This window comes from Homo sapiens, chromosome 19, assembly GCF_000001405.40.
Source record: "Homo sapiens chromosome 19, GRCh38.p14 Primary Assembly".
In the NCBI taxonomy this organism is placed as follows: Eukaryota; Metazoa; Chordata; class Mammalia; order Primates; family Hominidae; genus Homo; species Homo sapiens.
Window position 1 is genome coordinate 36,360,038 of NC_000019.10, and position 26,185 is coordinate 36,386,222.

Sequence of the window (26,185 nt, forward strand, 5' to 3'; positions counted from 1 at the left end):
AAGAGAGAATGTAAATTACTAGGTGTTTACCATCTTTGCTGATCTTTTCAAGAAATCAATTTTTGGCTTTATTAATTTTCTTTATTTCTTTTCTATTTTGCTGATTTCTGCTCTTATATTTATTTATTTTTTCTTCTACCAGGAATAGTTCTTCTCTTTAAAGTAGGATAGAAATATGAAAGATGAGAAACAGTGTTGCATTCAAGATCAATAGAAAGTTCCTTTGCTAGTCCAGGCTTAAAAGATCTTAATTTGCTTCAAGTCCCAAGCCCTGCCTCCATAGGCCAGGGGCTTTTTGAAGAGAGACCCCAACATCTCAAGGGTGTGCCTCCACCCTAATCAGTTTAGCTATTACCTGCAGTAGTGATTTCTCAATGCCTGCTCAGCCCTCACTCACCAGGGCAGTATCTTCTTGTCCCTTCCCTCACAACCATCCCAGGTTCCTTCCTTTCTTCATCCAATAAGGTAATCACATCTGGTTTAGAAATGGAAGGTCCTGCTTAAAAGAAAAATGTGACATGGAATTATACACCAGAAAATCTTTAGATTTAGATTTGGTTAAATTTATAATTAACTACAGATCAATATGGCACTTTATAAAGCCTAGGAGCGAAGAATTGCAAGGGAGTTGAAGAATGCTCATATTAAGGTAACTTGAGGGTCACAAGGAATAGCCTGTATGAGGTTAAATTAAGTATACTAAGGCCATTATATTAACCATCTGGTCAAGAACAGGCCTTAATATAATTTAACCTCACACAAGCTCTGTTGAAAGGCAGTATTGTGTAGAGGGAAGAACACAGACTGGATCCAGACTGCCTGGCTTCACATCCTGCCTTTGTTTCTGTGTTACCTAGCAAATTATTAACCTTTTGTGTCTACGTTTTCTCAAATAAAATGAAGATAATAATATCTTCTCATAGCGTTGTTGTGAGGGTTAATTAATAATGAACAATGCTTAGAATAATGTTTAAGCCCAAATATATGGTGATGTTTATTAACATATACACATAATATATGTATTAGCTATTAGCTATTTACTGTTATCATTTTGATGAGTGCATACTAAAAGGTTTTTTGAGACATTCCCAGATCTTTTCTAGGATATTCATTCAATGTTAAATGCCAGGCTTTTAGATTTTAATTTTCAATTACAAAGTAGGTAGAACTGCATATGTCTGTTACAGGAAACAGAATGTGTTTCAGGGTTTTTTCTGTTTGAGACAGAGTCTCACTCTGTCACCCAGGCTGGAGTGCAATGGCGCGATCTCAACTCACTGCAACCTCAGTCTCCCAGCTTCCAGGAATTCTCCTGCCTCAGCCTCCCAAGTAGCTGGGATTATAGGCATGCGCCACCATGCCTGGCTAATTTTTGTATTTTTAGTAGAGATGGAGTTTCACCATGATGGCCAGGCTGGTCTGGAGCTCCTGACCTCAAGTGATCCACCCGACTCGGCCTCCTAAAGTGCTAGGATTACAGGCATGAGCCACCATGCCTGACCTTGAGGTTTTTTTGAGATGGAGTCTCACTCTGTCGCCCAGGCTGGAATGCAGTGGCGTGATCTCAGCTCACTGCAACCTCCGCCTCCTGGGTTTAAGTGATTCTCCTGCCTCAGTCTCCCGAGTAGCTGGGATTACAGGCACGTGCCACCATGCCCGGCTATGAGTTTTAAATAACCTTTCTGGATCCATCTCACACTATGTTCTACAGATTCCTTTGATTTTTAGAGAAACTCAGAACCCCTATGTCTAGGTATTCTACTTGCAGATGGTGTGAAGCATTTATGTCAATTCTGAGCTCCAATATAAGGTGAAGTCTGGTTTCTTGAACAATGCTTTTGCCATATTCAAATCCATCCCCTTGGATACTAAGGAAATCAGGAATTACAGAGTCTGAAGGAAGTCTGAAGGGCATAGCAGACTGGACATGATGAAATGGAGAGGCCTAGTTCCAACCTGACAAAGCTTAAATCATTCCTTTGAGAATAGAAAGTAGTTTTAGAGAGTTTTTCTAAATATAGTCCTGAAATTGACAGCAGAGAAAGCTAATATCATTTGGGATAAATAACCTTACCTAGTGAAATGAAGTTGCTGTAGTTCTCCCACATTACATCCCTATATAAGTCCCTCTGAGCAGGATCCAGGAATTCCCATTCTTCCTGTGAGAAGTCTATGGCCACATCCCTGAATGTCACTGAACCCTGAAAAAACAAACTCAGGTATTACTTGTGAAAATAAATTAAATACTTTTAAAATGGAAAGAGGGGAGATTGAGGATTGCATTGCAGAGAGGGGTCAGATAGCATGCAAACAGCATTGGGCTGAAAACTTGTGACATGAGTAGGGGCCAGTAAGAAAATTAGTATTTCTCAAGCACTGAGCCTACATGTTCTTGAATAGTCCTGTGGCTATAGATATGATTACATTTTCATCCAAACATTTCTAGAAATGAGTACATAACCCAAAAAAATCCTAATTAAATGAAATAGTGCACGCAAGCCTTTTGAATACTATGTGCCTCCACCATAAATTCTTTAAAAATATGAGGTCTTGAGGCCAGGTGCAGTGGCTCATGGCTATAATACCAGCACTTTGGGAGGCCCAGATGAGAGGATCATTTGAGCCCGTAAGTTCAAGACCAGCTTGATCAACATTAGCAAGACCCTGTCTCTACATAAAAAGAAATTTAAAAATTTAAAAATTTAAAAAAAAAGAAATATGAGGTCTTGGGCTCTCTTTTCCCTTTAATGATCATTTAAAAACATTGATAAAAATTTATCCCACATGTGCTACAAAATCCAAGAAGACAGATTCAAATTCATCACAAACTCGGGTTTTATTATAAACACTTTCTCTTTTATAACCAATTCTTTAGTAAACTTTCAAAAATTCGTTCGATGGCAGTCTACATTTTTAATATATTAGATTCTTTTTTCTTTAGATATTTTAATTCAATAAAATCTCGAAAGTCTTCCCCAATTCTCAACGTCTACAATATCTAATCTTTATGGATGTGAATAATCTTCTTGCTTGTCACTATCTATCATCTCTTGAACATTGTTTTTTTGTTCCTGAGTTACAGGACACTGAATCATGAAGATATCATAAAGATATCACCTGGACACCATTATCAATCATATTCTTTTCTTTTCTTTTTTTTTTTTTTTTTTTTTTGAGACGGAGTCTCGCTCTGTCGCCCAGGCTGGAGTGCGGTGGCGTGATCTCGGCTCATTGCAAGCTCCGCCTCCCAGGTTCACGCCATTCTCCTGCCTCAGCCTCCCAAGTAGCTGGGACTACACGCATCCGCCACCACGCCCGGCTAATTTTTTTTGTATTTTTAGTAGAGACGGGGTTTCTCCGCGTTAATTAGGATGGCCTCGATTTCCTGACCTCGTGATCCGCCCGCCTCGGCTTCCCAAAGTGCTGGGATTACAGGCGTGAGCCACCGCGCCCGGCCCCCTGTATCAATCATTTTCAATGAGGAGTCATTTTGCTCCCCAAAAGACATCCGGCCATATCTGGAGACAATTTTGGTTGTCACAATCGGAGGAAAGGGTGTGAGTGTTACAGGCATCTAATGGGTAGAGGCCAGGGACACTGTTAGACATCCTACAATGCACGGGACGGCCCCCTACAATAAAAGACTCCCCATCAAAATGTCAATAGTTCAGGCCAGGTGCAGTGGCTCAAGCCTGTAATCCCAGCACTTTGGGAGGCCAAGGCAGGCAGATCACTTGAGGTCAGGAGTTTGAGACCAACCTTGTCAACATGGTGAAACCCTGTCTCTACTAAAAACACAAAAATCAGCTGGGTGTGGTGGTGGGAGCCTGTAATCTCAGCTACTCAGGAGGCTGACGCAGTAGAATCACTTGAACCCAGGAGACGGAGGTTGCAGTGAGCTGAGATCACACTACTGCACTCCAGCCTAGGCGACAGAGTAAGACTCGGTCTCAAAAAAAAAAAAAAGTCAATAGTTCCAAGGTTGAGAAATCCTGCTCTAGACCAGCACATCCTGTAAAAATACACAATGGACCTCGTTCCTGGCATTCTTCTCCGCAGGAGGAAATCTCCATTGATTGAGGTATCTATTTGCAGTCCTATTCTGATCACATCCTATTCACCCTGTTGGTGAAGAAGGGATCCCTGCCCTAAAAAGTACAAGACAATCAAATAGCCCACACTGGACAGATGAGATTGACAGCAATTTGTTCGATGCATATATTCAGAGCCTGAGAGAGGACATCATACATCACGCAGGGGCACAAGGGGATTGCATTTAAGAACAGCATGAACAAGCAGGGGTATGGGAGGCAGGCTTTACAGTAATAACAAGGTGAGGTGTTCCCTGGTTCCTGCAGTGGTATGTGATTGGCTTGTTTGAATAATTCCATAGGCTAGCAGGGAGGTGAAACCCATTAGGTTGAGGACGACGAGGGGTGTAACTGGTCTAGCTCATAGGAGAACTAGCTGGGTAGGAAGCCTTTCCCGCTGGGTGTGGGCATATCGGGTAAGAGCAGGGGAACTCATGGTTAGGCCTTTAGGGTCTTGACAAAGTTGTCAAGGCACACATGAAAGTTTAGGCCTTATCTTATAAGGCCCAATTACATCCCTACCCAATCCACCTAAAAGCCTTACATAGTATAGGGTCTCAACATACATAAAAACTAAGGTCAGTCAACACTAAATCCTATCCTATATACTTGAAAAACTCAGATCTGTGGAGAAGTTTAGAGTTTTCCCTATAAGCAGTCAGATAAGACCAAATTCTCTCTTTCATCAAATCACAGATCTTAAGGAAAGCTCAAAATAGGGACCTCCCACTTAACATCAGTAATCCATTCCTGAAAATCAGACATTCTAACGATTAACCAGGTACCTATTTTCCCATCATTTTATTTACTTTCTTTCCTTCCTTCCTCCTTCTTTCTTTCTTTGCTTTCTTTCCTTTTTCTTTTTCTTTTTTTTTTTTTTTTTTTTTTTTTTTTTGACAGGGTCTCACTCTGTTGCCCAGGCTGTTGCCTAGGCTGGAGTGCAGTGATGTGATCACAGCTCACTGCAACATTGAATTCCTGGCCTCAAGCAATGGCCTCCCAAAGGAGGGATTACAGGCGTGAGCCACTACACACGGCCTCCCATTATGTGAAATCAGAGCATTATAATGAGTTATATGTCAATTCCATCCCTCCAACTAGCTTTGCACATTTTCCTCCAATATAGAACTATGGGACACAGTGGGTCAGTACACACACAACATCTTTGCTTTTAGTATTTTAATCATCTCTTTTACTAAATTCATTTTTCTCATTTGCTTGGTTTCTTTCTCCACAATTTTCTTCAATACTTTTCCAATCTTTTAGGAACTCATTTTACACTAGACAAAAATGAGGGCTATATGTGAAGCACAGTATGGAAAAGTGTTTCCAACAAGAACGTGATAGCGGGAACGGCTGACACTCAGGATGGTGCTCTGTTACCTCCTCAGTCACTAGCAGCACCAGGTACACACATGCCCTTGAATGATAGTTATACACATTTCAAAACATCTGCAGATGGTTCCATTGGTCTAACAACTGTATTTGGGATATAACAAGATTTTTCCTGGATGTTATTTTTGTTTTTTAAAAAAAAGCATTGTATTGGATCAGGTGCGGTGGATCACACCTATAATGCCAATACTTTGGGAGGCTAAAGTGGGAGAATCACTTGAGCCCAGGAGTTTGAGTTCAGCTTAGGCAACATAGTGGGACCCCATCTCTACAAAAAATTTTAAAAATTAGCCAAGAGTGGTGGCACGTGCCTGTAGTCCCCAGTACTCAGGAGGCTGAGGTGGGAGGATCACCTGAGCCTGGGAGGTCGGGGCTGCAGTTAGTTGGGATCATACCACCGCATTCCGGCCTGGGTGACTGAGTGAGACCTTCTGTCAAAAAAAAAAAAAGGCTGGGTGTCATGGTGGATGGTGGCTCATGCCTGTAATCTCAGCACTTTGGGAGGTCGAGGCAGGTGGATCACTTGAGGTCAGGAGTTTGAGACCAGCCTGGCCGACATGGTGAAACCCCGTCTCTACAAAAAAAAACACAAAAAATAGCTGGGAGTGGTGGTGGGCGCCTGTAACTCCAGGTACTCAGAAGGCTGAGGCAGGAGAATCGCTTGAACCCAGAAAGCGGAGGTTGCAGTGAGCCGAGATCCTGCCACTGCACTCCAGCCTGGGCGACAGAGCGAGACTCTGTCTCAAAAAAAAAAAATTGTATTGAACTATATGATTCCACTTGAACAAAGTTCTTGTTTTGTTTTGTCTTTTTGAGATAGGGTCTGGCTCTGTCATCCAGGCTGGAGTGCAATGGTGCGATCTCGGTTCACTGTAACCTCCACCTCCCGAGCTCTAGTCATTCGCCCACCTCAGCCTCCTGAGTAGCTGCGTCTATAGGTGTGCCACCATGCCCAGCTAGGTTTTGTATTTTTTGTAGAGACACGGTTTTGCCTTGTTGCCCGGGATGGTCTGGAACTCCTGAGCTTAAGCGATCTGCCCACCTCAGCCTCCCCAAGTACTGGGATTACAGGCATGAGCCACCACACCTGCCCCACTTGAACAAGGTTCCAAAAATAAGCAAAATTACATTATAGTGTTCGACATCAAGACAGTGGTTACCCTGGGCAGTAGGTGGGTGGGGAGTGACTGAAAGCATCTGAGGTGATTTCCTTTCTTGACCTGATAGCATAGATGTACTCAATTTATGAAAATTCATCCAGCCATACACTTATGGTTTGTATATTTTTTTGTATATATGTCATTCCTCCACAAAAAATTTCAAAAACGTTTTAAAAATGTCATATTGTGGCCAGGTGCAGTGGCTCATACCTGTAATCTTAGCACTCTGGGAGGCCGAGGCAGGCAGATCACCTGAGATGAGGAGTTCAAGACAATCCTGTCCAACATGGTGAAATCCCATCTCTACTAAAAATGCAAAAATTAGCCAGGTATGGTGGCGGGCACCTGTAATCCCAGCTACTTGGGAGGCTGAGGCAGGAGAATTGCTTGAACCCAGAAGGTGGAGGTTGCAGTGAGCCGAGATCATGCCACTGCACTCCAGCCTGGGTGATAAGAGTGAAACTCTGTCTCAAAAAAAAAAAAAATGTCATATTATGTATTGGGGACACCTATTTTTTCTATGTAAAACTAAGACAAAAAGCACTGTACTGAGAAAAATATACTTTTTCTGGAGTTTAAGTTTTAAAATGAAAAGCGGTTCCACTGGAAGATGTTAACAGGAGGACATTCTGCAGAGAATGCCTTCAATTTTCTCAAGGCATCTCATTTCCGCTTTCTCACAGCTATTGACAGAAGATTTTGTAGGTAGGAGATGCTCAACATTAGTGGGAGAAGAGATAGCCACATAGGATACTGGGCTATCTGTCCCAATCCTCACAGGAGGGAAAAGAACTGGAGTAGGTTCTTTTTTTTTTGAGATGGTGTCTTGCTCTGTCGCCCCAGCTGGAGTGCAGTAACGCAATCTCGGCTCACTGCAGCCTCTACCTCCCGGGTTCCAGCAATTCTCCTGCCTCAGCCTCCTGGGCGCCTGCCACCACACTGGCTAATTTTTGTATTTTTAGTAGAGACAGGGTTTCACCATGTTGGCCAGGCTGGTCTCGAACTCCTGACCTCAAGTGATCCGCCTGCCTCGGCCTCCCAAAGTGCTGGGATTACAGGCGTGAGCCATTGCGTCCAGCCATGGAGCAGGTTCTTGGATGAAGCTCTGGTAAGCAGGAAGTTTCAGAATAAAGAATGAATCTATATACATGATACAGAAATTGACAGTATTTCGAAAAGGACAGAGAAACATTAACTTACATGGGCCATGGTTTTAGAACTGCAAAAACTGGTCAGTCCTTTTCAAGATTTCTCTGTTGGAGAACTATGGAGTCCTGATAAGCCAGAGCTGAAAGAAGAAAAAGAAACCATGAAATAAGCTGCGCCACAGAGCTCCCAAAATGATGTACATCATAAATATGAAAACTTTTTTCTCTTCCATTCCTTCTCCCAAACTACTTCCATTGGCTTTTCCAAAGTACCACCCACCACTATGCCCATCCCTATCCTATACCCACATATAACTGGGGAAAAGTATAGGGAGTCTAAAGAGAAACAAGCTCTGGCCGGGCACGGTGGCTCTCGCCTGTAATCTCAGCACTTTGGGAGGCCAAGGCAGTTGGAGCACCTGAGGTCGGGAGTTCGAGACCAGCCTGACCAACATGCAGAAACCCTGCCTCTACTAAAAATACAGAATTAGCTGGGCGTGGTGGCACATGCTTGTAATCCCAGCTACTCGGGAGGCTGAGGCAGGAGAATCGCTTGAACCCAGGAGGCGGAGGTTGCGGTGAGCTGAGATTGCGCCATTACACTCCAGCCTGGGCAACAAGAGCAAAAAAGAAAGAAATACAAGCTCTGAAGAAATAGGTGACAAATGATGAACTTGGTGTAGAAGCCTAGCTACTTCTGCAAGAGGATTTCTGACCAGGTCGCCCTCTAGCAATGTGGATCTGGTCCAGACACTGGATTACTCAGATTTGTTCTGAGCAGCTCCTCCTCACTCTAGGACAACTTTTCAGGACTGAGAAGGGCCCTGAATCCTGCCCCTAGAATCCTGCCTGAACTACCTAAACACAGCAACTAAAAGACCACACAGATTGAACCTGGCAGCTTCTGCCAATGTGAGGCTACCCTTGCCTTCCCCAGCCAGGAAAGCTCGCCACTCCAGTTTTCCAATCAGGGCCTCCCATACCATGACATCCTTCACCACTCCTTCTCTTTTATTGATTAATTTTTTTTTAGATGGAATTTCACTCTGTCACCCAGGCTGGAGTGCAATGGCACGATCTCAGCTCACTGCAACCTCCATCTCCCGGGTTCAAGTGATTATCCTGCCTCAGCCTCCTGAGTACAGGTACATGCCACCACGCCCAGCTAATTTTTATATTTTTATATTTTTAGTAGAGACGGGGTTTCGCCATGTTGACCAGGCTTGTCTTGAACTCCTGACCTCAGGTGATCCGCCCGCCTCGGCCTCCCAAAGGGCTGGGATTACAGGCGTGAGCCACCGTGCCCGGCCCCACTTTCCTTTTAGTATCCAAGCTGGGGACAGAAGGGATTCATGATTCCTGCAGTTGGTCAACAATATTCATTGAGAACCTCTATGTGTTGGGTACTTCATACACATTGTCAGTTGTCCTCGGTACTGTTCTGCAATGTAGTGCTCTCCTTTTAATAGCTCAGGAAACTAATGCCCAGGGGTCAAATCAGTTAAGTTGCCAACATTTGTTTTGAATCTACATTTCTCTAACTAAAAAGCCCGTTTCTTTTTTCTTTTTTTGGTTTTGTTTTTTTTGTTTGTTTTTGCAGACAGAGCCTTGTTCTGTCACCCAGGCTGAACTGCAGTGGCATGACCATGGCTCACTGTAACCTCTGCCTCCAGGGTTCAAGCGTTTCTCCTGCCTCAGTCTTCCAAGTAGCTGGGATTACAGGCGCCTGCCACTACGCCCGGCTAATTTTTATATTTATAGTAGAGACAGGGTTTCACCATGTTGCCCAGGCTGGTCTCGAACTCCTGACCTCAATTGATCCACCCGCCTCAGCCTCCTAAAATGTTGGGATTACAGGCGTGAGCCACCACACCCAGCCTAAAAGCCAGTTTCTCTTTCAACTCAGGTATTTGTCTCTGAAGCAAGGATTTCTACTTCACCAGGAGAAATCTGATCATCAGCAATTCACTAAAAAAAAGAGGAATAACTAACAGTAGGTTTTGTTTTGTTTTGTTTTTTCAAAAACACGGTCTCACTCTGTTACCCAGGCTGGACTACAGTGGCATGATCTTGGCTCACAGCAGCCTCGACCTCCCGGGCTCAAGCAATCCTCCCACCTCAGATTCCCAAGCAGTTGGGACTATAGTTGGGCACCACCATGCCCAGCTAATAATCTTTCAAAAAATGCTAAATCTCAGAAGATAGCAAAATAGTTCTTTCCATCTATGGTCCACCTGCAGAAACATCAGTTTGAGCAATTATCCATCAACAAAAATGCCTTCACAATAGCTAAGGCAACCAGGTGAGAGATCGCAGTACTGGGTTGTAGCACAATAATAAGAAAAGAAGCATTGAAGAGTGCAGGAAGGACGGCTCGACATTACCCATGTCACCCCTCCCCAGCTCAAGGCAGCACAGTGTAGACAGAGGTATTGCCCACTTGGGGAAAAGTCAGGGAAGTGAGCACAGAACTTTGCCTGTTCCCTAACACCAGGCCCGCCATAGTAAAACCCAGCAACAGGGAGACTCCCAACCCCAGACTCCAGGCCAGTAGCCACAGACTGACCCTCTAGACCTGCTCTGGCATCAGGAAAGATCATGCAGCCCAGGCTTCAGGCTTGCATGATGAACTCCATCTCCAGGCTGCCACCACCATCAGGCTGACATCAGAGGCCCTGGGCTCCAACAGCCCTTAGCAACAGGCAAGCCTCAGTGGCCTCTGCAATCAGGCACATAACAGTATGGCACCAGTCACAGTGGTCTCAGGCTTTGAGCGTGCCCCAGCACTGCACCAGCCAGAGTGGCCCTGGGCTTGGGGCATGCTATGTGCAACACCAGAGAATGTGGTTCCAGCCTTTTGGAGCATCCCAGCACTATACCCACCGTAGCAGCCCCAGCCTTAAGGACCAAACCAGACAGGCTGCCCAGAACCACTGCATGGGCTATTGATGGGCTTTCCCAGATGAACCTCATTCTGCAAAGACTGGAATAAATACACAGTCCTTTCAAGTGTGCAGACATCAGTGCACGGTCACAAAGATCAACAACAATCAGGGAAACATGACATCGTCAATAGGACAACATAAAGTGCCAGTGATTGACTCTAAAGAAATGGAGATGTCTGAACTGCCTGATAAAGAATTAAAACAGGCTGGGCACAGTGGCTCACACTTGTAATCCCAGCACTTTGGGAGGCCGAGGCAGGCGGATCACGAGGTCAGGAGATCGAGTCCATCCTGGCTAACACGGTGAAACCCCATCTCTACTAAAAAATACAAAAAAATTAGGCGGGCATGCTGGTGGGTGCCTGTAGTCCAGCTACTCGGGAGGCTGAGGCAAGAGAATGCCATGAACCCAGGAGGCGGAGCTTGAAGTGAGTCAAGGTCGCGCCACTGCACTCCAGCCTGGGCGACAGAGCGAGACTCTGTCTCAAAAAAAAGGAAAGAATTCAAATAACTGTTTTAAGGAAGTTCAGTGAACTTCAAGAAATACAGAGAACTTTAAAAAGTGAGAAAAACAATATGTGATCAGAATGAGAAATTAAATAGATTGAAATAATTTTTAAAATCAAACATAAATTCTGGAGCTGAAAAATACAATGAAGGAAATTTTGAAAATGCAAGACAGAACATCAACAGCAGAATTGACCAAGCAGAGGAATGAATCTGTAAACCTGAAGACAAGTTATCTAAAAATATACAGTTGGATGGAAAAAAGGATGAAAAGAAATGCAGAAAGTTTATAGGATTCATGGGACAGCATCAAAATAGCAAATATTTGAGCAGTAGGAGTTAAAAAGGGAGAAGAGAAAGATAAACAAGTAGAAAGCTTATTTAAAGAAATAACAGCAGGCACAGAGGCTCATGCCTATAATCCCAGCACTTTGGGAGGCCAAGGTGGGATTACTTGAGTCCAGGAGTTTGAAACCAGCCTGGGCAACATAGCGAGACTCATCTCTACAAATAATTTTTTAAAAATAAGCCAGGTATTGTTGCATGTGCCTGTAGTTCCAGCTACATGGGCGGCTGAAGCAGAAGGATCACTTGGACCCAGAAGTTCAAGGTTGCAGTGAGCTATGATCATGCCACTACACTCCAGCCTGGGCAACAGAGTGAGATGAAAGGAAAGGAAGGGAGATAAGAAGGAAGGAGGGATGGAGGGAGGGAGGGAGGGAAGGAGGGAAGGAAGGAAGGAAGGAGAAAGAAAGAAAAAAGAGAGGAAAGAAAGAAAAAGAAGAAAGGAAGGGAGGGAGGTAGGGAGGAAAGGAGGAAGGAAGGAAGGAAGAAAGGAAGGAAGGAAGGAAGGAAAAAAGAAAGAGGAAAGAGAAAAAAAGAGTAGCAAAAAACTTTCCAAACCTGGGGAAAGGTAAGTATCCAGGTATGGCCCAAAGTTAGAAGGAAGAAAATAATAAAGATTAGGGCAGAAATAAATGACACAGACCAGAAAGCCAATAGAAAGAATCAATAAAATTAAGAGTTTTTTTTTTGAAAAAAGAAAAAACCCACAAAATTGACAAACCTAACTAAGCTATACTAACCAAGAGAAAACAGAAAATATTGAAAATATTCAAATAAAACTAGAAATGAAAAAGGAGACATTACAACTGATACAACAGAAATAGAAGAGACTATTATGAACAAACATACACCAGAAAATTGGATAACCTAAAATAAATGATTAATTCCCTGACACATACAACCTACCAAGATTGAATTATGAAGAAATAAAAAATCTGAACAGGCTGGGCATGGTGGCTCATGCCTGTAACCCCAACATTTTGGGAAGCCAGTCATTATGACAAACAGTATGGAGAGGCCTCAAAAAACTAAAAATAGAACTACCATATGATCTAGCAATCACACTACTGTATATATCCAAAGGAAATGAAATCAGAATGTCAAAGAGATCTCTGCACTTTCATGTTTATTATAGCATTATTCACGATGGCCAACACATGGTGTCCATCAATGGATGAATGGACAAAGAAAATCTGCTATGTAAATAAAATGTAATACCATTCAGCTATGATAAAGAAACAAAACCTGTCATTTGTGACAACACAGATGAATCTGGAAGGACGTTATGTTAAGTGAAATAAGCCAGAAACAGAAAGATAAACACCACGTGATCTCATTCATAAGTGGAATCTTAAAAAGTTGATCTCGACCAGGCGTGGTGGCTCACGCCTGTAATCCCAGCACTTTGGGAGGCCGAGGCGGGAGGATCACCTGAGGTCGGGAGTTCAAGACCAGCCTTACCAACATGGAGAAACCCTGTCTCTACTAAAAATACAAAATTAGCCGGGCATGGTAGCACACGCCTGTAATCCCAGTTACTCAGGAGGCTGAGGCAAGATAATCACTTGAACCCGGGAGGCGGAGGTTGTGGTGAGCCGAGATGGCGTCATTGCACTCCAGCCTGGGCAACAAGAGCAAAACTCCGTCTCAAAAAAAAAAAACAAAAAAACAACCAAACAAACAAACAAACAAAAACAACTTAATCTCATAGAAGTAGAGAGTAGAATGGTAGTTACCAGAATCTGGGGTAGTTGGGGGTGGGGGGAAATGGCAAGGTTGAGGAGATGTTGGTCAAACGATACAAAATTTCAGTTACATAGGAGGAATAAGTTCAAGAGATCTATTATACAACATGGTGATATAGTTAACAATATATTGTATTACTGAAAAAAGCTAAGACCTGTAAAGTGTTCTCACCACAAAAATGGTAACTATGTAAAAGGTAATTCATATGTTAATTAGCTAGATTTAGACATTCCACAATGTATATATACTTTAAAACACCATGATGTACATGATAAATACATGTAATTTTATCTGTCAAAAAATAATTTTAATACTAAAGCTCGGTATTAAGAAAATGACCAGCCTGGGCAACATAGTGAGACCTTGTCTCTACAAAAAAATTTTAAAAATTAGCCGGGCATGGTAGCGTGCACCTGTAGTCTCAGCTACCAGGAGGTTGAAGCAGGAGGATGGCTTGAGCCTGGGAAGCAGAGGTTGCAGTGAGCTGAGATGATGCCACTGCACTCAAGCCTGGGCAACAGAGTAAGACCCCATCTCAAAAAAAAAAAAAAAGAAAAAAATGAAAGAAAAAAGAACAGAAAAAAATGAAAGAAAAAAGAAAAGAAAAAAATGAAAGTTAAAGCAAACAAAATGTACCTTTTTACAATGACTGCATTGCAAGACCTAAAAGACTGATGATGCCCTATAGTAGCAAGGTTGTGGGGACACCGACACTAGGTCGGTCCACATTTAGAGCTATGTGAAGCAGCATTTCAATCCTGTAAACTCTGAATCAGAAGCTCCACTTCTGACACTAAAGGGACTGTATCTGTACATAAAGATTATGCAGAGCTATGGCCGGGGCAGTGGCTCACACCTGTAATCCCAGCACTTTGGGAGGCCAAGACAGGCGGATCACCTGAGGTCAGGAGTTCAAGACCAGCCTGGCCAACATGGTGAAACCCTCTCTCTACAAAAATACAAAAATTAGCCGGGCATGATGGCAGGTGCCTGTAATCCCAGCTACTCGGGAGGCTGGGGCAGAAGAATCGCTTGAACCCAGGAGACGGAGGTTGCAATGAGCCGATGTCGTGCCGTTGCACTCCAGCCTGGGTGACAGAGGGAGACTCTGTCTCAAAAAAAAAAAAAAAAAAGAAAAGAAAAAAGATTATGCAGAGCTATGCTGACAGCATGGTTTATAATGAATTAATGGATTAAAGTTGAAAAGAACCTAATTTCGGAATGATTCAATAACCTGTTGTTTATCCATACCATTGAAAATGATGCAACCATTAAAAATGATGTTGCCTTAATTTTGAATGGGTGAAGCCAGTGTGTTAAAAAAAGAAAATACCAGCATGTGTAGTGTGAAACTATTTTGACAGAAAAAAAAATCATGTTTCCCTAGCAGGACCAGTTAAAATGTTTACAGTCACAGCCAGCAACACGCACCACCACATTAAACAGAGTGTGAGCCTGAAATACCCAAATACTTCAAATAAGACTTTCCCGGCTCAAGTTCTTTCAGTCTTCCTTTTAACTGAGAAAAAAAGCTAAGGATACTGTAAAAACAGATGCTGTTTTTTCTGAGTGGCTTTTTTTTTTACTTCGGCTTCTCATTCATGAACCAACTCTATGATTTAATTTGCCCATGTGTGTTGGAGTACGGCCTAGAAAAGAATGGCAAAAAGTCTCTGACTGATGTCTTCTAAGCACTGAAGGCAGCCCCATGCTGCTTCCTTTCACATCTTCCTGATAAACAGGTTTATTTTGCTTCTGAACCAGTTCTTTTGGCTAAGATGCCTATGAAGCCCTCCAGCAGATGTTGGGTCTCCTTGACCAACTGGTCTCACTTTGCATATAACATCATTAAAATAAAAACTGTAAGGCATACATCTGTATGAAACCCAGTTACCTCCATAAAGACCCTGTAGCTTCAGTATAATCTGGACAAAACTTGACAGTGTGTGCCATCATGAGATTGATATCTCTTCCCTTCATCGTGAGATTGCTGAATAAAGCAGGAAGGAATTTTTTTTTTTTTTTTTTTTTGAGACAAGGTCTTGCTTTGCCACCCAGGCTGGAGTGCAGTAGCACGATCTCGGCTCACCACAACTTCCACCTCCTGGGTTCAAGCGATTCTCCTGCCTCAGCCTCCCGAGTAGCTGGGATTACAGGCGCATGCCACCACACCCAGCTAATTTTTGTATTTTCTTTTTTTTTTTTTTTTGAGACGGAGTCGTGCCCAGGCTGGAGTGCAGTGGTGCGACCTCGGCTCACTGCAAGCTCCGCCTCCCGGGTTCACGCCATTCTCCTGCCTCAGCCTCCCGAGTAGCTGGGACTACAGGTGCCCGCCACCATGCCCGGGTAATTTTTTGTATTTTTAGTAGAGATGGGGTTTCACCGTGTTAGCCAGGATGGTCTCGATCTCCTGACCTCGTGATCTGCCCGCCTCGGCCTCCCAAAGTGCTGGGATTACAGGCGTGAGCCACCGCGCCCCGCCTAATTTTTGTATTTTCAGTAGAGATGGGGTTTCGCCATTTTGGCCAGGTTGGTCTTAAACTCCTGACCTCGGGTAATGCACCTGCCTTGGCCTCCCAAAGTGCTGAGATTACAGACATGAGCCACCGCGCCCGGCCAGATTTTTTTTTTTAAGTATGCATAATGATGATATTTGGTATACTGTTGTAATTACCAATATATGCTTTTATTTTTCTGCATGATATTAGACAGGTTACTTTCCAGTTCCCCATATGAAATGGTGAGAACTACAGTTTCTACCTGAAAGGATTGTTATGAGAAATAAATAAGATACTACATATAAGGCACTTAGAGTAGTAAATAAGCATTTCATAAAAGTCAGCTATATTAATAAAGATGAAGAATACTACATATGCTTCTTCCCACAATTATTTTTAAAATTCTACTCAGGCCTGTAATCCCAGCACTTTGGGAGGCCAACACAGGCGGATCACTTAGATCAGGAGTTCAAGACCAGCCTGGCCAACATAGTGAAACCCCATCTCTACTAAAAATATAAAAATTAGCCAGGCATGGTGATGCATGCCTGTAACCCCAGCTACTTGGGAGGCTGAGGTAGGAGAATGGTTTGAACCTGGGGCGGGTGGCTGCAGTGAGCCAAGATCGTGCCACCGCACTCCAGCCTGGGTGACAGAGCAAAACTCTGTCTCAAAAAAAAAGAAAAAAAAAAAATTCTTCGCAGCCCTGCTCTTGATAGGCAATCCTTCTTGATTATCAACAATTTACAAAAGGAGGGTACAAAGATAAAACAAATGTGGTAGGATACCAATTTTTGGATCTGGGTGATGAGGAAAAATATTAAATTACAACCTAACGGTAACAAATCTACTGTGCACTTATTATGTGCCAAGCATTAGCTAAGGGTTTTGCATATATTAATTCCTCTACTCAGAGCCATCCTATATAGCAGGGTCTATCATTATCCTCATTTTGCAGATGATGAAACTGTGGCACAAAGAGATTAAATAAATTGCCCCAAGCTCAGGCAGCTTTAAGTGGCAGGTTGAGGACTAGAACCCCCCTACTTTAGCTCCATAACCCATACGACTGTCACTGTACTAAACTGCATCTCATGAGACCTGATAAATACGTGGCCTGAAACACTCATGCTGTCAAAAACTTCAAGCCACTTTCCAAATTTCTACTGTCTTCCCTTCCCTTCTAATAACCCCTTCCCTTGTTAACACAGACCTCTCCACTAAAAACCCCATCGTATTGTCACTCCTTAAAAGCCTCAAAAGCAGAAAAGATCCTGTCGCCAATCAAACCACCTCCTTTCCCTGCTTTTGAACTCAGGGCGGTGGGGATCAAAGAGACCTAGTGGGTAATTCCATCTAAACTGTAAACTCCTCAACTAATCACCATCGAATGAAAGTTCTACGTGGTGGCTCACGCCTGTAATCTCAACACTTTGGGAGGCTGAGGTGGAAGAATTCCTTGACTCCAGGAGTTCAAGATCAGCCTGTGCAACATAAGGAGACCTCATTTCTACAAAAAAATTTAAAAATTGCGCGTGGGACCACGTGCCTGTGGTCTCAGCTACTCAAGAGGCTGAGGTGGAAGGATCGCTTGAGCCAGGGAGGTCCAGGCTGCAGGGAGCGAGATCACTTCACTGCACTCCAGCCTGAGGGACAGAGTGAGACCCTGTCTCTAAAAAAAAAAAAAAAACTTAAGTAACAAAATAAAGCTCTGCAGTTAGCTTCTCTTCAGGAGGTTTACTTCCAGACCATCCAAATGATTAGAAAGAGGCAGCTCATAAGAGAAACTAAATTACTGCCAAATGCTCATGTCAATACCTACTGGAGGCCGGGTGCGGTGGCTCATCCCTGTAGTTCTAGCTACTTGGCAGGCTGAAGCAGGAGAATCCTGCTTGAACCCGGGAGGCGGAGGTTTCAGTGAGCACATCGTGCCACTGCACTCCAGCCTGGGTAACAGACCCAGACTCCATCTCAAAAAATACAAAAAAAAACAAAACAAAACAAACCTACTGGAAAGGGGTAGGAATTGGAATCTACCTTCATCACCCCATCATTCACTGGGAAGGAAGGCCAAAGCACCAGGTCAGTGGACAGGACATTTCAGGGGTTAAAGTCTAACTAGCTGAAGATTAACTGGAACAAGCCCGCATAGTCTGACAAAATCATATCTATTGACTGGCAGAAAGGGAGAAAATTCCACAGGAAGGGTTGGAATAGAATGGACGAGAGAGACGAGAAAAGCTCTTTCGTAAACGGTTGAGTTCCAGCTGAAAGATTCTAAGGAGGATCTAATGACAGCTGCAATCTGGAATGGCTGCTGTTTCCGAGGTGAGATTAGGAGAGGCAGGGATTAATGAGATATTGAATGCAATCATGAGTGTAATCAAGAGGGTATCCCCAGTAATAAAATGAAAACAGCAAAGCAAGTCTAGAACATCACTGGTAAGAAAACTGTAATCTCTCAAAGAGGGAGTCATTATGCCATTTTACAACTACTGCACCACCTGGGGAGAAATCATGTTTTCTATTAATTTTGCAACTGGCTTTATCTGTCTCTTCCTTCCTAGCCTGATTAATGACAGAGCTGCTTCATTGTTCAGTCCGAGCTGATTTTCATTCCACAGAAGAGGAAAGCAAATGCCCCCACGCCCAGAAAAAATAAAAATTACACTTCATGGAACAAAACGGAAACACAAACTCATCTGGATGTTGACTTGTCTATATGCAACAGCAATCATTTCCTCCTCTCCCCGCTGCCTTCCTAAAGAACAGCAGGATTGGGAAAGGAGACGGGAATCTTGAGACCGCGGGCCTTTCCTGGAGCCGGCCTTGGCTGAGCAGGACACACCCCCGCTAGCGCACTTGCTCCCTCCGTCTACTGCGCGCAAAACCCGATGGAAATAACAGGGAGCCTGGAATAAAGCTGACCCTTTCCCGTATCAGAGCGAAAGGCCAGGTACACGAAGACGGGGCTGGGATCTGTCTCCGAGTTCCCCGCAGTTTCCATGGGAGGGAGCTCGGGTAAAGCTGTGCAATCTGCAGTTCTTCAGACTGCGTCTTTTTGTTTGGGGGCCTTCATTCACTCCGGGGTTCCTGTATCTAACTCGGAGCCATTCCGGGCCGCTGGACCTGGGCGGCTCTGAAGCGAGAAGGCAGAGGACGCAACAGGGCACCCGGCGCCCAGTCAGCGCCACAAACTCCACAGCTACTGCCTCCTGGCTCACACTGAGGTCTGCGCCGCCCCCGCGCCACCCCCGCGCCCATTGCCTCGGTGCAAGCGACCAACTCACCTCTCGGAGCCGACACCAGCAGCGAAGCCGGAAAGAACTGCGAGCGGAGGCCTGTGGGAAATGTAGTCCGCCGATGGGAGGGACTGGTTCCAGCCCCAACGGGCTGCGCGGAGTGCGCATGCGCGGGGGCCGGAGCCCCGGGTGCGCTCGGGGCGGGAAGGCCCTCCGCGCTGCGTGGGGCTGAGGCGAGCTCGGGCTTGCGTTTGCTTTTGTCGCTGAGGAAGACTTTTATTTGTTTATTTTCTTGAGACAGGGTCTTACTCTGTCGCCCAGGCTGGAGTGCAGTGGCGTGATTAGAGCTCACTGCAGCCGCGACCTCCCGGGCTCAAGCGACCCTCCCACCCGAGCCTCCAGAGTAGCTGGGACTGCAGGCGCGCGCCACCACGCCCAACTCATTTTTTAAGTTTTTATAGAGACCAGATCTCCCTATGTTACCCAAGCCGGTGTCGAACTCCTGGGCTTAAAAGATCCTCCCGCCTGAGCCTCCCAAAGTGCTGGGACTACAGGCGTGAGCCACCAGGCTCAGCCGCGGAGGATTTAGAAAGAAGTTTTGGCACCAGCAGATGCCTAATATGTGTACTAAACACCTACCAGTTACTCACTGCATACACCCAAGCAAGGTGTGGGCACACATCAGGCATGCAATGAAAATACTCTCAAAGCCCACCAGAACCTGGAGCAGGACGTAAACCTAGAAAGGTCGCTCGTGCTCACTGCCCTCTCCCTTTCTCCCACTCTGTCTCTGTCTCTGTGTGTGTGTGTGTGTGTGTGTGTGTGTGTGTGTGTGTGTGTGTCTCGTATCTCCTGCAGTTGTGAATGTATTGTTCTACTAAAAATACAAAAAATTAGCCGGGCGTGGTCGCGCGCGCCTGTAATCCCAGCTACTCAGGAGGCTGAGGCAGGAAAATCGCTTGAACCCGGGAAGCGGAGGTTGCATTGAGCTGAGATCCGCCATTGCACCCCAGCTTGGGCAACAAGAGCGAAACTCCGTTTCAAAAGAAAAAGACTAACTGGAGAGGTCTGTCTCCAATGAGACTGAATTTGTCCTGTCCTGCGTTCCTTCAGGAAAGAAATGGGATAAGCCCACCAGGGACCACCCTGAGGCATCTTCTGTATCCCAAATTCTTTGATATATTAGTTAATACATGAAAGAATTTGTTCTTTCCTTAAGAATATAAAACTTTAGAAGATATTTGAAAATGCCTCGGCAATCTGGTTTCATTTTGCAAACAATAGGATATGCATGAAATAGGAGATAAATGAAAAATCTGAGCTACTTTATAACTACTAAGAAGGTGGCCAGACGCGGTGGCTGACGCCTATAATCCCATCACTTTCGGGGGGCCGAGGCGGGTGGATCACCTGAGGTCAGGGGTTTGAGACCAGCCTGGCCAACATGGTGAAACCCCGTCTCTACTAAAAATACAAAAAAATTTAGCTGGGCATGGTGACGCACACCTGTAGTCCCAGCTACTCGGGAGGCTGAGGCAGAAGAATCGCTTGAACCAGGGAGACGGAGGTTGCAGTGAGCCAAGATCGTGCAGCTGCACTCCAGCCTGGGCGACAGAGCAAGACGCCGTATCAAAACAAAAACGAAAACAAAACAAAACAAAAAAAACTACTAAGAAGGCCGAAGGCCCAAAGTATTTTTTTAATTCAAAATCACGGTCCTATGTACATGTTTACAATTAAATTTATGTAAGGAAATCAACACTCCATTAAAAAAACAATAAAAAGAATTATTAAAATAGCTCCTCCATATTCTCTGTTTTGACTAAGTTTTTTTTTTTTTGAAACAAAGTCTTGTTCTGTCACCCTACCTGGAGTGTGGTGGCACAATACTGTCTCACTGCAACCTCAGCCTCCCAGGTTCAAGGGATTCTCCTGCCTCAGCCTCCTGAGTAGCTGAAATGACAGGTGCCCACCACCACGCCCAGCTAATTTTTTGTATTTTTAGTGGAGACGGGGTTTCACCACGTTGGCCAGGCTGGTCTCAAACTCCTGGCCTCAAGTGATCCGCCTGCCTCAGCCTCCCAAAGTGCTGGGATTACAGGCTTGAGCCACTACACCTGGCCTCGTTTTGACTAAGTTTTGAGGCCTTCTGACACTAGGGGCTAAATTCTTCACACCCTCTCTGGTGAGGAGACTGCTGGTGAAGATAACTAACTGTAGGTCATTTTCCTTGTCCAACAGCCCCAGAGAATTAACGCCTGACTTCACTGAGGTACGATGGAGGGATTTTTGGAAAGGGCCCTGCTCTGCTCTGTGTCAAATGATGGGGCACTTGGTCCAATATCATGCTCACTGACCTTCTGAAATAGGATTTTCTTCAGATTGTTTCTCATGTCGTTTAGTTTGAAAAAAGCGATTTGGACCTTCAATTCATCATAATCATGCAGAATAAGAGCATTTCTTTCAGAGAGTTTCATTTCTTTTCTTAGTATCTAAATCTGTACTATTAATATTTTCAGTTGCCTCTCAGACATCCGCAGTTTCTCTTAGTAGGAAAAAAAAAAAAAAACCCACGTGTCAAATGCTCCATCATTTGACACAGAGCAGTGTCCTTTGTAAAAAACCCTTCCATTGTACCTCTAAAACCTGTCATTCTAACCTTTTTGTTGTTCTTATTAACAGTTCATGGACAGGCACGGTGGCTCAAGCCTGTAATCCCAGCACTTTGGGAGGCTGAGGCAGGCAAATGGCTTGAGCCCAGAAGTTTTAAGACCAGCCTGGGTAACATGGGGAAATCCCGACTCTACAAAAAAATACAAAAATTAGCCAGGCATGGTGATGCACATCTGTAATTCCAACTACTCAATTTTTTTCATATATATATATATATATATATACACACACACACATATATATCATATGTATATGATTTTAGTAACTTTGAAATCATAAAAACTAAAGATGCCTCAGCAGGAATTAAATCCATGTTATTTCTCAATATATTTCTGGAGTCTTCATTTATTCCAAAACTATATCTTGTGGATGTACTTCACATTAAGTTTGCAGATTGAGAAAGTGGCCCAACATATACCAAACCTTGTGTTTTAATCATTTGTGGTAATATCGTATAATTTATGACCTCAACTTTTGTTAAATACCTTCATGGCAAAGGCACTATCAGAAGCTGCTGCAAAACCTCACACCATCAGCACTGGTGAAGGAGAAAGCCGTTGCTTTCTGCTTTCTTCTGTCTTCCTAATCTTGCATGAGTTTATCTCACTGGAAGAACATAGATCACATCTGGAATTCTAGAGGCAAGAGGGTCTAAAAATTGTAGTGCTGAGGCTTCCAGCCTCTGTAGCACAAAAAAGAGCATGGGGCACAGAAGAATACTTATAACAAAACAACAACAACAAATGATATCCAGCACACTTGGTTTTTTAAACAATTTTTTATTTTTATTTTTTAGAGATGAAGTTTCATCTCGTCACCCAGGCTGGAGTGCAATGGCGCAATCTCAACTCACTGCAACCTCTGCCTCCCAGGTTCAAGCGATTCTTCTGCCTCAGCCTCCCAAGTAGCTGGGACTACAGGTGCGTGCCACCATGCCTGGCTAATTTTTTTTTTTTTTTTTTTTGTATTTTTAGTAGAGACGGGGTTTCACTATGTTGGCCAGGCTGGTCTCGAACTCCTGACTTCAGGTGATCCACCCACCTCGGCCTCCCAAAGTTCTGGGATTACAGATGTGAGCCACTGTGCCCAGCCGGTTTTTTAAACAATTTAATATCATCATTTAAAATTTGGCTTTTTTCTCAAAATTTCTCAAAAAAAAAAAGAAAAAAAATTTGTTTTGCTACCCCAATGCTAGAAAGATACTCTACATTTTCTCCTGAAGCCCTTCTTGCTTTACCTTTTACGATTAGATCACTCATGCATCTGGAATTGATTTATGTATAGTGTGAGGTAAGGGTCAAGACGAATTTTTTATCAAAACAGATACACAACTGATCCAGTGCTTTTTATTGAAAAGACCACCATTTCCCAACCACATGGCCGAGGAAACTTTATCACAAATTAGACAACCACATATATATAGAGAGAGAGATCTACTTCAGGGCTCTTTATTTTGTTCCATTGGTCTATTTGTTCATTCTTGCTCATCGAACATTCTGGTTCATTCTAACATACCTGCCTTAATGACTACAGTACAACTTGTCACATTAACAAACTCAAGGAGAAAAACATCATATCAATGAGCCAAAAAGGCATCTGACTATATTTAGCAGATATTTCTAATAAAAAAAAAAGTTAAACAAGAACTGAGACAACTGAGCTACAAAATCTATTTATCTCAGACCTAGAGTAAACATTACACCAAGTAATTTTCATTAAATTGGAGAAAATGACCAGATGCCTGGTATCACCATGAATACTAAACCTTGTTTTGGAGACTCTATTACAATAACAATAATTTAAAAAATAATCACTATATTTAGAAAAAAACAAAATTATATCTATTTGCAGTTGACACACCTGATTGCCTAGAAAACCAAGAGTCTAGTAAAAAATAAAATTTAAAAGATTATTAGGTAATAATGAAAGCTATGATTGTATCCACATTTAACGTATTCATATGACAATATCAACATAAATACAATATGGGAGAAGGTAAGTCCATTTATAACAAAGGACTACTATCTAGAATTTTATTTTTTAAGAATCTTATAATTCTTATATTTTAAAAGCTTTTTTAAAGGAACACAGGCAAAGACATAAATTGGCAAGTTACAGCGTTTAGCCAATATTCAGATGTGAAAATATGCCCAATTCACTATTAACCAGGAAAATATTACTATGCATACCAGAAGTAAGGATATAAGGAAATAAGGAAAACATATTTCACTGGTTGAAGGGATTGTGCACTGGGAGCATACTGATGCTCTCTACTTCTATGACAGTATCTAGTGAGGTTGAAAGTAAATATTAACTATGACTGAGCAATCCTACTTTTGATAAATACCTTAGAGAAACTCTTGCTTATGTACAGTAATAAACACAGACCTATTCAATAAGGTATTTTTCACAGTGAGAAAATGCTTATCACCTAAATATTGATCAATAAGAAAGTTTAAATACATATAATGTATATATAAAAGATAGGACTAGTGGGCTTTCTATTCTATTGAAAAGTATCATTCAAAAAAAGCAAGCAGCTGGTTACAAAGCATGATGGGAGTTGCTTTCCTCACCATACCAGTAATCATACATCTGCCATAATGCTGACATTTTCATCTTCGAAGTCCTTTTGGTTATCGCAGCATCTGCCAAAGTAGAATCACATCTGCAATAGGTATTGGGAATGGGAGTTCTATGGTGAAGTCTGAATTACACTGAGTTAAATAAAATAAAACTCCATTTTCTTTCATATTGATAGGCACATAATGTGACTTTTTCCCCCAAGAAATATAGTACACAGAGCTCTCATACATGTTTCACAAAATCATTTCCTTCAAGTAGGATTAAGTACTAGTGTTCTGTGGAACATAGTTTCAGAAATTTTGAGTAAAGGTACTGTCTCCAGAAGACCTCTGTTAATGTGAAAATGTTACCTAAGAGGAGAAACACATTGTCCTATTAGCAAAACCTAATTTTATTATAGCACTTAAAATAGTCTTCTTCATGTTACATTTTACTGTTTACAAATTAAAAACCATGTGAAATCTTGGGTGGACAAGATGTATTATTCTAGATGATTAATGACTAATTAATGACATCTGCCCAATCTGAGCAAACTGGACTTGGAGGTACAAATCTTAATCTATGAATAGAGTGACATTACAGAGATTTGGTTAAAAATAAAGAGTTGTGGCAATACTTACTTTTATTTTGTGGAAGGTGCTGTGGTTTGAATGTGTCCCCCAAAGTTCATTTCCAAGTTTTTGGGAGAAACTTGATCCCCAATGCAACAATATTAAGAGGTGGGACTGTTAAGAGGTGATTAGGCCATGAGGAGTCTGCCCTTAGGAATGGATTAATGTTGTTACCACAGGAATGGGTTTGTTATCACGTGAGTGGGTTTCTTATAAAAGGGTGAGTTTGGCCCCTTTTGCTGGCTTGCTCTCTCTCTCACCCCCTTTGCCCTTCCGCCATGAGATGACACAGCAAGAGGCCACTCATAAGATGTCAGCCTGTCAATCTTGGGCTTCTCAGTCTCCAGAACCATGAGTCAATAAATTTCTGTTTGCTGTGGATTACTGAGTCTGTAGTATTCTGTTATAGCAACACAAAACAGACTAAGACAGAAAATTGGTACTGGAAAAGTACGCAGTTGCTATAATGAATAACTGAAAGTGTGGAAGTGGCTTTGGAACTAGGTAATGGGTAAGAGCTGAAAAAGTTTTGAACTGGATGTCAGAAAAAGACTATTGCTGTGGGTGGAATGTTAAAGGGTGATTCTGGTGAGGGCTCAGAAGAGCTGTATGGAAAGTCTGAAACTTTTTAGAGATTACTTCAGTGGTTGTGATCAGAATGTTGATAAATATAGGGATGGCAAAGGCAATTCTGGTGAGGTCTCAGCTGGAAATGAGAAACAAGGTATTGGAAACTGGAATAAAGGCCATCCTTATTAGAAATTAACAAAGAATCTGGCTGAATTTGTGTCCATGCCTTGGGCTTTATTGGAAGGCAGAATTTAAGAGCAATGAACTAATATGTGGTGGAAGAAATTTCTAAGGAAAATACTGAAAGAGCTACATGGCTTCTTTTAACTGCATATAGTAAGATGTGAGAGGTAGAAATGATTTAAAGATAAAACATAATTAAAAGGAAGGCAGAACAAAAAGATATGGAAAATTTGCAGCCTGGCCATTTATGAAGTGAAAAGGTGTGTTTAGGAGTGCAAACCAAGGTTGTATACCCAGAGACTGCTGAAAAGATTAGTATGAATAGAAGGAAGACAGGAGCTATCAAGACAGTGGGAGAATGACCCTGAAGGCATTCTGGCGCTCTTTGAGGCTGCCCCTTCCATCACAGACAGCATTCACTGGCTCATGCTGCCTCATGACTCTGCTTCCCACATGCCAGTAGAGTGCCCTTGGCTGCCCCAGCC

General features: G+C 43.0%; 2 protein-coding genes across 4 annotated transcripts in view, besides 1 other annotated feature; both read right to left on the bottom strand.

Annotated features, from left to right (window-relative positions):
- Window positions 1-19,164, bottom strand: part of ZFP14 (ZFP14 zinc finger protein) — a 44,749-nt gene extending 25,585 nt beyond the window's left edge. The window contains exons 1-4 of one of the 2 annotated variants that reach the window (NM_020917.3): window positions 19,126-19,164; window positions 7,847-7,934; window positions 2,075-2,201; window positions 398-496 (exon numbers count right to left, since the gene is read on the bottom strand). In NM_020917.3, the coding sequence (NP_065968.1) occupies window positions 398-496; window positions 2,075-2,201; window positions 7,847-7,855 (235 nt within the window). In that variant the 5' untranslated portion in view covers window positions 7,856-7,934; window positions 19,126-19,164. Of the gene's footprint in view, window positions 1-397; window positions 500-2,074; window positions 2,202-7,846; window positions 7,935-19,125 lie in introns of both variants that reach the window. The other variant, NM_001297619.2, reaches the window with a different exon arrangement.
- Window positions 19,271-19,360: a silencer, noted in NCBI's record as "silent region_10548". NCBI's record gives its function as "represses an Ori minimal core promoter by ATAC-STARR-seq in GM12878 lymphoblastoid cells {active_cell/tissue: GM12878}" and the evidence as "EXISTENCE:reporter gene assay evidence [ECO:0000049][PMID:35858748]".
- ZFP82 (ZFP82 zinc finger protein) overlaps window positions 23,083-26,185 on the bottom strand; it is a 35,525-nt gene continuing 32,422 nt past the window's right edge. The window contains exon 5 of one of the 2 annotated variants that reach the window (NM_001321919.2): window positions 23,083-24,398. In NM_001321919.2, the coding sequence (NP_001308848.1) occupies window positions 24,295-24,398 (104 nt within the window). In that variant the 3' untranslated portion in view covers window positions 23,083-24,294. Of the gene's footprint in view, window positions 24,419-26,185 lie in introns of both variants that reach the window. The other variant, NM_001321918.2, reaches the window with a different exon arrangement.